General features: G+C 38.1%; 1 protein-coding gene across 4 annotated transcripts in view; it reads left to right on the top strand.

Moving 5' to 3' along the window:
• ADSS2 (adenylosuccinate synthase 2) overlaps positions 1-12059 on the top strand; it is a 43567-nt gene that overhangs the window by 4639 nt on the left and 26869 nt on the right. For all 4 annotated transcript variants that reach the window (XM_047447585.1, NM_001365073.2, NM_001126.5 and 1 more), the window contains 2 exons: positions 9654-9756; positions 10529-10597. In XM_047447585.1, the coding sequence (XP_047303541.1) occupies positions 9654-9756; positions 10529-10597 (172 nt within the window). The remainder of the gene's footprint in view (positions 1-9653; positions 9757-10528; positions 10598-12059) is intronic.

Genomic DNA, 12059 nt, shown 5'->3' with positions numbered 1-12059 from the left:
CATCTCAGTGGTGTCTGATCAAAATTATTCTGTTTCTTTAACTTTGGTGGGAATGGATGGGTTTGTTGGATGTTTACAAGTATCTCTAAGAAAAACTGTTGCCTAGAGCAAATCTAGAATGAACCAATAAATTGATATTTACTTAATAGCTTTCTTTCTGTAACTGGATACGAATCCAGCTATCTTATCTCTCAGGGACTGTGTCAGATGTTGACACCAAAGATTAGTGTGGATGAGCTACATATTGATAAATTAAAATTGGTGACTATTGTAATACTTTTAGCAACAGAAACATCAACATTCAGTATTGCCTGCTGAAAGCAATGAAAAGAACAATAAATGAAGGGGAGTTCCTGTGGCTAATCTGGCTCTGGGATGGGATAGTTCTTTACATTGAACCAAAATTTATATTTGATTCATATAACAAAATTCTTTTTTGAAAAGAGGCTCCATGAGATTTCTAAAAATGAGATTTTTGTCTATATTAAGTTTTAACATCTTTTTTAAAGGAAGAATTTTATTATTGAGAAAACTTTTTTGACTTGAAATCTGTAGTTTAATTTCAATGTGTTTTTAAGAAAATATTTTCATGAATTTAATTAGGTGAATTTTTATCAAACATTTACAAAGAGCTGTGTGACATCGTTGGTTTATACATTTTTGGTTGGATGTCTTATGGCCTCATCTATGACCCTGGTTTGGTGAGTGTGAAAGAATATTAGAGTTTGGTACCCAGAGTCTAAAGCTTCTTAGGAACCTAAGATTCTCTCAGGCAAGGCCCCTTTCCACTTTCATTGTGAGAAGTTATTTCATAATAGTAATGTTAGGTCTAAAATATAAGGTATCTGAGGTTTTCATCATTTGTGACATTTATGTGTGTATGAAACTAGAAGGTAACTATAATCATGCAAAGTAAAGTGGATACCTTTAAACCTTTAATGGATAACTGAGCTGGGATATCTTTGCTAGAAAGAAATTCAGATACCCTGTGTATTTTTTTCTCTTGCTGTCTAGTGTGTCTGGTTACTGCTACATAGTTAAATTTGATCAACTTGCTGGTAGTAACTTAACCTGCTCTACTTTGGAATCATAAGCTAATTGCAGTTATGTGAATGCTTTCATGAAAGAACAATCATCATTTATAACTGCTTTATTGCTGTGGATTGATAAGTGCTTTAGTTTTGGTGAATGGTAACATGTTTCATCTGGAAAGGAGGAGACACAGATCTTACAATCTTTACCCTGAAAGCAGCATAGATAATAAGCATTGACTCCAAAGATTTTTAGGCTCTTAAGAAGTTTGAAGATTAGACAAAAAAATAGCAACCCTTTTTTGGTTGCTGAAATAGTTCAGGGGCATGGGATCTGAGACACTGCTGCTCTCTCCTGTAATCCATAGTGGCCACTGACTTCCTGATGTTCATTTTGAGCTCTGTGATTACAGTAGGTTGTTCATATATTCAAAGCAAAAGGACAAAGATAAGACACAGAGGCCTAACTAGCCTGAAAAATGCCTCTGGGCTTTGTGCATGAAATTGGTAGCCCTTGACACTTGGGCCTGTATTCTGGAAAAGAGACCATTGTTTCAGGTTTACAACACTGAGGATCATTCACTGCCTTCATCTCTCTACCACAGCAGAAATGCACTTGGGGGAGCGAAGAAAGGAGTGATTTAGGGAAGGAGAAGGCCCAGTAGTGAAACCAAGTTAAGAATCAAGAGTCACTTTTGTAAACTAATATCATTTAATTCCTTTCCAAACTTTTTTTTTTTTTAACCTCCCCTGGACCTTTGGAGCTTCTTAGCTAGAAGCTTACACATATTAGCATTTCCTGATCCAAAATTTTATTCTATAATTGGATTTGACAGCCTCTGGTTCTGAGGAGTCATGGAAAGAAAATTCAAAACACTTGTCTTCCGACTTCCTTAAACTAAACATCAAATTAGGAAGAAAAGGAATGCATGGAAAAACTGAGAACAGTTACAGAATAACTAAATACTATTATATCATTCCTCTATCCTGCAGTAATGCTTTAAAGTATTGTCCTTGACAGCATAAAATGTTATTAATATCTAGCAATCATTTTAATATTCAGTTTCACTAGTACAAGATGTAAATTCAGCAAGGTGTATATTATGTTGTAGTAAGTTTTTTTTGTGAATCATTTGTGTTCTTTGTTTGCAAGCAATGGAAAGAAACTATCTCAAGCAAAATGGGGATTTGTTTAAAGGAAGAGCAGGATGGTGGCCTGAGATGAAGCCTGCTCCTGGAATTTCAGCAGCTAGAACTGGCAACCTTTTTCTTTAGGATGCTTCCCGTAGGTGACAGGCATCTCAGACTGCTATTGCTTTCCTTCTCAGTACTCAAATTCAGATTCCCAAGGGAGAGGAGCTGACTGGCTCAGGTTGGAACATGTTTCCCTGCCTGGATCAGTTTGCTGTGGCTGGGGGGATGATTCCTATGATTTGCAAAGTAGGGGAAAAGGAGGGGGACTGAGCATACAAAAGCTATAACTAACCTGGAGTTAATTTTGTATAGGAAAATAAGGTATGAGGAAGCATTTGTTCTGGATTGTTCTCATTTATAAATTGTTTTCCAAAACTCTAATGTGCTATTGACCTGTAGTGCTTTTCTGGAACAAAAAATAGAGTTAAATTGGTTTTTATTATTTTAACCTTAATTAAAATAATGAAAATTAGCTATGTATTGATGGTAAAAACTAAAAGCATACATCAGAAACTTTGCTTTTCAGCTTTGAGAACATAGAATTTTAGTCCTGCTTTTTGTTTCTATCATGATGTTCCAGTTTATTTCATAGCTCTGTGATGAGATACATTTTTTCCTGGTAATTAAGAAGCTTATTTAATATTTTCTTTGTATTTCATCTTTTTTTTTTTTTTTTTTTTTTGAGATGGAGTCTCGCTCTGTCGCCCAGGCTGGAGTGCAGTGGCGGGATCTCGGCTCACTGCAAGCTCCGCCTCCCGGGTTCACGCCATTCTCCTGCCTCAGCCTCCCAAGTAGCTGGGACTACAGGCGCCCGCCACTACGCCCGGCTAATTTTTTGTATTTTTAGTAGAGACGGGGTTTCACCGTTTTAGCCGGGATGGTCTCGATCTCCTGACCTCGTGATCCGCCCGCCTCGGCCTCCCAAAGTGCTGGGATTACAGGCGTGAGCCACCGCGCCCGGCCTGTATTTCATCTTAATGTAAGAATAACAGTCAAAGAAAATTGGTAAAATATATACTATATTAGGGGATGTTTTGTGACTGCAATTGAATTTTCTTTCATATATTGTTCACTTTAATAAAATTAACCTGCATTTATTCTTGGTATTTAATATAAGAAGAACATCATATAAGGCATTATAAGCTTATGCTTTTCCTCAAAGAAACCTGCCACGTAGCTACTTGTGGACTCATGCTGTTTTTTGTTTCTTGGGGTGTTGGTGGGGGGTAGGGTATATTTCAGAAGTAAAATGGTTTAAAAATTGGCCTCAACCTGAAAGCCTGCCATGCAGTGTTGTGGCACTGATGGAAGTGTGAATGAGAAGGCGGTGTCAGCACGTGGCTGGAGAGCCGCTCCGCCACTCTGCCACTCCGCCTCCCTGCCACGTGGCTTGTGAGGAGCCACTAAACCTTTCCGTGCCTAGGCCTCCCCATCTGTGGAATAGTCAGTACCACCTACTTCATAGGGGTGTTGTGCGGACTGAAAAAAACAATGTCAAATGTTTTTAATATTCAGATGCAAGGATGATGTCTGAAATCTGTACTGTATAAAGGCTACACAAAAATGGACAGACATTTGGTTGACTGTGCCAGATACCAAAAATGTACGTTCAGAAAAGCATTTTACCAACTCAGAAATATGACTTATTTCTAGGAAAAACAAAGTTCAAAAAATTATCTCTGAGATTTATTACTAAATGTTTTCCCTGTTGGATATAATTGATCCAGAAACAACGTTGAGATTCCACAGCCCTTTGTTTATATAACTATTAATTGAACATATTCTATTTTTTTGTTAAGTAATATAGAATATACAGCTATGATAATGAAAAGTATTTGTTAAATGCTACAAGAGTGACTGGGATCATAAGTGTTACGGGAGTTTGGCAAAGAAGCAGGAGGTAGTTAGTGTAACTGTTAATGTGATTATAAGACTAATACATTTGTGGGAGATAACTTACCAAGTTTGGTTTGTGGAAAATTTGGATTGAGAAGGAAATTGTATGTTTCCGTTAGAAGTAGAACAACAACAACAAAATATCTCCCATCATTTGTTTGGTACTATCTGGCCTCCCCAGTGCTGCTTGGGAGAATCATGAAACATGATGAATCAAACACATCCTTGCTGTTGCTCATCCTGGCACATATTACACAGAGTTGCCCATGGGCCCATGTAGGAGCAGCTCCATCTGCCCTTCTAATACATAGGTGGGAGACTGAGGGGGTGCTCGTATTTGAAACTGTTTTTGGTTATGGTGCTCATATTTGAAATGCTTTGTTTTACTGTCTGCTAATATGTGACCTCTCCTTGAACCAGTATAATCTCTGTTTGAGGACAATTGCCTGAGCTCCCAAGGTGAATTTTGCCTATTTACATAATCTGAATATTTTAGGTTAACATCCAAATGGGCACTTCAAATTTCTTTATCTGTTGCATTTTATAAAATACAGTATACTAAAACTTGCTTCCTATATAGATTACCTCATCAAGAAACTCCTTATGAGCAGCTCTTTCTCAGTTCTCCTGAAGACCCTTCTGTGTAGTGTGCGTTTCAAGATTAAAAGTTATACCCCAACTGCCTCACAGAGCACTAGTGACCAAATATAAATAAGCACTTAGATATTTCCCCCTAAATCCCACGTAGGATAATCTCGGGTGTTTCTGGGTATATTTAACAATGTTTCCATACGGAAACAACTTAAATGATATTTAAACCATATAATAATCAATGTAATACTGGTTATTGAAAAATGTTGCTATTTTTCAATAACTAATATTTGAATGAGCAAACTTTATACCACCATGTGACTTTGTCTTTTACTGCTGAACTTTCCAGCCTGAGCTGCCTATAAACTTGGACAAACTTAGGGAGTTAAGCCAATTTTTCCCCCTAAAGTCATCCATCACAACCATCTGCCTAAAAAATTTGTGTGTGTGTGTGTGTGTGTGTGTGTAGAGCAACCATCATCTCTTTATTATGGTTAATTCCATCATTACTATCTGTCTTGGTAAAATATTAGCTAAGAGAGTAAGCTTTTGTTACACAATAAGAACATTGTCATTCACTACCAGTAATAATTGTCAAATAATAATTCATCAAATGATTATATTGGTATAGCTATAAAAGTAATTTTGTGTAAATTAGGAGACCTACTTTAAGGGTCTACTCCAAAAATTAGAGTAGTTTATTTTTAACCTTGAGCAAATGATGAATTTTTTAAAACTTTTTGTTTGTTTGTTTGAGACAGAGTCTTGTTCTGTGGCCCAGGCTGGAGTGCAGTGGCGTGATCTCGGCTCACTGCAAGCTCCGCCTCCTGGGTTCACGCCATTCTCCTGCCTCAGCCTCCCGAGTAGCTGGGACTACAGGCACGTGCCACCACGCCTGGCTAATTTTTTGTATTTTTAGTAGAGACGGGGTTTCATTATGTTGGTTAGGATGGTCTCAGTCTCCTGACCTTGTGACCTACCCGCCTCAGCCTCCCAAAGTGCTGGGATTACAGGTGTGAGCCACCGTGCCCAGCCTAAAAACTGGTTTTAAAAAAATAAACTGGTTGTAGTTAGGCAGGGTGACATGCACATGCGGTCTCAGGGACTCAGGAGGCTGAGACAGGAGGATCGCTTGAGCCCAGGAATTCAAGGCCTGCTTGGGCTATAGTGAGACCCCATCTCTAAAAAAAAACCTGGTTTGACTTTGATAATAATACCTTATTTGTTGTCTCAAAATTACCAAATACTTTATAACAACTTAGTAAAAATTCATTAAACTTAGTAATTTTTAACAAGAGGAACTGAAATACAGGTAAGAATTATCCTGTGAGTTATTTTTAAAAGACTAAGTTGGCCGGGCGCAGTGGCTCACGCCTGTAATCCCAGCACTTTGGAAGGCCGAGGCGGGCGGATCACAAAGTCAGGAGATCGAGACCATCCTGGCTAACATGGTGAAACCCCGTCTCTACTAAAAATACAAAAAATTAGCCGGGCATGGCGGCAGGCGCCTGTAGTCCCAGCTACTTGGGGGACTGAGGCAGGAGAATGGCATGAACCCGAGAGGCGGAGTTTGCAGTGGGCCGAGATCGCGCCATTGCACTCCAGCCTGGGAGACAGAGCAAGACTCTGTCTAAAAAAAAAAAAAAAAAGACTAAGTTAAGATAATTAATGTTCTTTTGGTGTATAATATATGTCCTAGGATTCTATCAGAATTGATGATAAAATTACACAAGTGTGAAGTAATAATATATACCAGGAAGTTTATTGCAAGATTGTTTATAATAGCAAAAGATGGGAAACAATCTGAGTGCCTCTCATTATGGGACCAGTATGATAAGTTATGATATATATACATTTACAAAAGGGTAAAATACAACTGTTAAAAGAATGAGATGATTCTGTTTGCAAGGTTATGGAAGTACGCAAGCTGCCCACATGTATATAGTTTGCTACCATTGTATATGTAAAATAAAACAGTATATATGTTTTATATGCATAAATCACCTCAGGAAGGACCAAAAACTTGTGCTAACTGGTTGTCTTACAGCAAGGGTATGAGAAAGGCTTCACATTTTACTGTGCATAGTTCTGTGCCACTTGGTGTCTGTATCATATGCGGGAATTTCTTATTAAAAAAATAAATAGTAAAAAATAATGCCTCTGTTCCCTTTTTGGTATCACTTGAAGGTGTTGCCCATCATCCCTGTTTCCGTCTGCCTGTGCCTTTCCAAAGTGTGTCTTACAGATTTTAGCCCAACACTGCCAAGTTGTTTTTTAAAATATATGCCATACATTAGTCTTCAAAGAGTTCTTTGCTTTATACGGTGCAAAACACCGTGTAAATAGGTATTTGCTTTTTGAAGATTTTTTTTAGCAGGGCCTATTTTTCTAGCATTTTTGTGACCTCATAATTGGGATGATTTGGTAAAAGTTGTAACATTCAATTTGTTAAAAATAACCTTGTGAATCGGGCAGAATGGGGCAAGATGGTCAGACAGAACCCTTTACCAATTGTTCTCCTACAGGAACACCAGATTTAATAACTATCCACACAAAAAAGCACCTTCATAAAAACCGAAAATCAGGTGAGCAATCACAGTACCTGGCTTTAACTTCCTATCACTGAAAGAGGCATGGAAGAGGGTAGGAAAGACAATCTTGAATTGCTGATACCACCCCTTCCCCACCCCCAGCAGCCATGGGGCGCTGAGAGAGAATCTGTGTGCTTCGAGGCAGGAGAATGCAGTGATCATAGGACTTTGCATTGGAACTCAGTGCTGCCCTTGTCACAGTAGAAAGCAACACTGGGCAGAACTCAGCCAGTGCCCACGGAAGGAGCGTTTAGATCAGCCCTAGCCAGAGGGGAATTGCCCATCCTAGCATTGAGAACCTGAGTTCCAGCAAGCCTAGCCAGCACAGGCTAAAGTGCTCTGGGGTCCTAAATAAATTTGGAAGATAGTCTGGGCCACAAAGACTACAGTTCTTGGGCAAGTCCTGGTGTTGTGCTGGACTTGGAGCCAGTGGACTTGGGGGGCATGTGACCTAGTGAGACACCGGCCAAGGTAGCTAAGGGAGTGCTTGTGCCCCTCTTCCCCCAACCGCAGGCAGCACAGCATGCAGCTCCAGGAGAGGCTCCTTCCCTCCACTTGAGGAGAAGGAAGAGTCAGGAGGATTTGGTCTTGCAGTTTGGATCCCAGCCACAGTAGGGGCAGGGCACTGGGCGGAGTCCTGAGTTCCCCGTCACAGGCCCTAGTTCCAGGGCAAATTTCTAGACATACCCTGGGCCAGAAAGGAAGTTGCTACCTTGAAGGGAAGGACCCAGTTCTGGCAGGATTCGTTACCTACTAGCTAAAAAGCCCATGAGCCTTGAATAATTAGCAGCGTTACCCAGGCAGATAAGGAACTCTTTGAAGACTAATGTATGGCATATATTAAACTCCACATAAACAAAGTGGAGTACTATTCAACCAAAAAAAGAATGAAATCCTGTCATTTGCAACAACGTGGATGGAACTGGAGGTCATTATGTTACGTGAAGTAAGCCAAGCACAGAAAGACAAACTTCACATGTTCCCACTTAACTTGTGGGAGCTAAAAATTAAAACAGTGGAACTCATGGAGATAGAGAGTAGAAGGATGGTTACCAAACGCTGGGAAAGGTAGTGGTAAGAGTGGGGTATGGGGTGGGGAGATGGTTAATGGGTATACAAATATAGTTAGATAAAAATACATCTAGTATTTGACAGCACAACAGGGGACTACAGTCAACAGTAATTATACATTTTTAAATAACTCAGTATAATTAGATTGTAACACAATGAAAGGATAAATGCTTGAGGTGATAGATACCATATTTACCTGGATATAATTATTACTCATATGCTTGTATCAAAATATCTCATGCAACACATAAATGTATGTAATACTACGTGGCAACAAAAATGAAAAATGAAAAAAATAGCCTCACGATCAGCCTAGTGATTCTGAGGCAATATAGTTTTGATTAGTATTTTTTAATGTTATAGAAGGATGTTGTTAAAGTTTTTATTTGTTGCAAATACATCCCGAGTATACTTTTAAAAGTGTGTTAATATTGTATAGAAGTTTAAACGTGTAATCAGCTGACATAAATGTAAAAACTTGTGTTTTCTTCCATGTTTTTTAAACTTAGAAAAGTTATCTGGTTACTTAATATTTAGTCTCCTTTGTACCTACTTTTTGTAATTTGACTTTTTCCATTTTGTTATTTCTGCATAAGCTTCATAGAATGGAAATTTAATCATGGGTTTATAGTATGATTCTCAGTGTTAGCAGTTCCTTGAGCCAGGATATTACTTTATCCAGAGATGAGCAGGTTCTAGGGATCTGTCACTAACCAAACCTACAAGACTGGTTTATAAATCAGAGGCCAAGGATAACCAGTATTTGGGGGAGATACTTGTTAAGTCCATGTAAGAATACAAATTTCAGGTCACAGAGTTGCTTGACACACTCTTAGGATGATGGGAATTCTATGAATATTTACATCAAGTTAGGGTAACTGGATAGATTACTCTATCTTAAGAGATTTTTTGTGTGTGTGTAGATGGAATATCATGGTTAGATTGCCATAATCCTCCATAGCCAAAGACAGACTAATTGCTCTATGTATTTTTTTCACTTTTTTTCCCCTCTTTTAAGAAGGAATATGATTTTCTGTCTTTCAGAAACCTGAATTCCCCAATTTCTATATTCTTTCAGGATAATCACTCAAGTATTCTACAGTGGGGAAAGGAGACAGCCAAACTATTTTAAAGCCTTTTACAAATGAGTAGAGGTGGTAAATATTTGGGCTCTCTTAAGTTGACCTTTTGGCAGGAGGTCATTAATTCACTTTGGAGGGAGATAGGTTATTTGTAGTATTTATCATCAGGCTCAATTTTCCCCTATCTTACATTTTAGGGAGGAAATAATGCTGGCCATACAGTTGTTGTGGATTCTGTGGAATATGATTTTCATCTCTTACCCAGTGGAATAATTAATCCAAATGTCACTGCATTCATTGGTAAGTATATAAACTGAACTGCATGGAGATTCCCCCCCACCAGTTGATAATGGCGTTTATTTTTTATTGTCAAAACTGTTTTCATCTCTCACTGACCAGATGGTTCATTGATCTCTTATTAATTTTGACCTTGATACCTTCTGGAATATACATGACTTTGGCTATTTGTCACTGTAAGATCTTTTAACAGTAATACTTTTTGGAATGATTACTTTGCATTCATCTGTGCTCACTGACAATCTTAATTCTGTAAAGAAGTATTAGATCATTGAATCAGTTTTCCAAATACTTTTTTTTCCACAAATACTTTCAACCATGACTCATAGTAAGAAATATGAGAGGTTCATGAATTTATTTTGAACCCTTACAATAAATGATGCAATCTGATCTTTTCTACTCTCCTTTTAATTTTTAAAAATCCTTATCACAACCTACTAAATTGATTTATGACCACTAATAGGGTGTGATTCCCCAACTTGAAAGATACTGATTTAGCATGTACTGTGACCATGTTCCATTTGCTTAAAATTACATAATTAGTTTCCTTCAAAATCATATTTCACTTTGTTTTCAAGAAATTTTCAGCTTCATTGAGTATAATTCTAGTGTTTTATATTCACTATATTATGTTCCATTATGTATTTAAATTATACTCCTGTGTAAAACTTGGAATCATTTCTGTGGTAACACCGTGGTAAATCAGAATGTCCTTTAAGTTACATATGTCTGAGTTATAGATGTTTACCGTTGGGATTTGTTGGTTTTCCTTTAGGAAATGGTGTGGTAATTCATCTACCTGGATTGTTTGAAGAAGCAGAGAAAAATGTTCAAAAAGGAAAAGGTATGAAAGAATGAGTCTACTTGGTAACCAGTTGTTCTTTGTAAAGTTTTATTAGGATCTTATGCCAGACGAACAACATGTTTGTCTTATGCTTTAAAATTTCGGGCTATTATAGACGAATTTTTAATGTCAGTTATTAAGTTTTATTCATTATAAACAGTGTTTTAAACAGAAGACCAACATCTTATGTCATTGTATTAAGTCCTGATTTTTTTACACATTAGTCATCTACAAACTTTATCTTAAGATAGCTAGAATTACAATATGTGGGTGACAAAACTAGGAAATTCCTGAGTTTGCACACTGTCAGTCTTGTTTTCTAGAGGATCTGGAGCTCTCCTTTCGTTGCTACAACTCAGGGATAAAAGGGAATTTTTGTTTTTTCCCATGCTACACAGATGTAAGGGGAATCGTTTAGGTCCCTCCTTCTAAATGAAGTAAATGCTGCTTTTATACAATATATCCATGCCCATCTTCTTAAAATAAATAGTCCTGGATTCTTGCCTTTCCTGATCTCTTGGATTTTTAGAGATGTGTTTACATTAACCTTGGCCATCTCATTAGGGTGTGAGGGGAATTTGATAATACAAATACAGGTTAAACATCCGTAATACAAAAATCTGAAATCCAAAATGCTCCCAAAATCTGAAACTTTTTGAACACAGACATGACACCACAAGTGGAAAGTTCCATACCCGACCTCATGCAGCGAGTCACAGTCCAAACATAGGCACGCACACAGTTTATTCAGTGTTTCCAGGGGAAAAAAGGCCTTCTCCCCTTTCAGCTTTCATATATCTTTTCCATGCACGCCCAGATTCCCCCACACCAGCGTTCCCACAGAGGGCAATAAAGTGGCATGTGTACTAGCTGGATGTGCCAACTGTGGTAATAAATGAAATATAGAATACAGGTGGAGACTGGAAGCCTGCTTCGTTGTTGCTGCTGTTTGCCAGCTGATACAGATACTCTGGTGCTGCTGCTGTACTGCTTACTTACCCTGAACACATTTTTCCCACTGTATTGGTGGTATGTCATATTTTTGACTGTTAAGTACTTGTGTGTGAATAAGTGTAAGGAAATGATTACTCATCAGTAGCATATAAATTCAGAGTCAAGAATGTTGGTGTTGGTAAACAACCACAGATGGAGGAGGAAGAGGAGGATGGAGGAGGAAGAGAAGGATGGAGGTAGAGGAGGAGGATGAAGGAGGAAGAAGAGAAGGACAGAGGTGGAGGAGGATGAAGGAGGAAGAAGAGAAGGACAGAGGTAGAGGAGGAGGATGAAGGAGGAAGAGAAGGAGGAGGAAGAGGAAACAAACTTCGTTTCATGCACAAAATTATTTAAAATATTGTATAAAATTGCCTCAATTGATATGTAAGGTGTATATGAAACATAAATGAATTTCATGTATATATTTGAGCCCCACCCCCCAGAGATCTCATTATTTATATGCAGATAT

This window comes from Homo sapiens, chromosome 1, assembly GCF_000001405.40.
Source record: "Homo sapiens chromosome 1, GRCh38.p14 Primary Assembly".
Taxonomy (NCBI): Eukaryota; Metazoa; Chordata; class Mammalia; order Primates; family Hominidae; genus Homo; species Homo sapiens.
The sequence above is the reverse complement of the archived record's forward strand: the minus strand, read 5'-3'. Positions and strand labels throughout refer to the sequence as shown.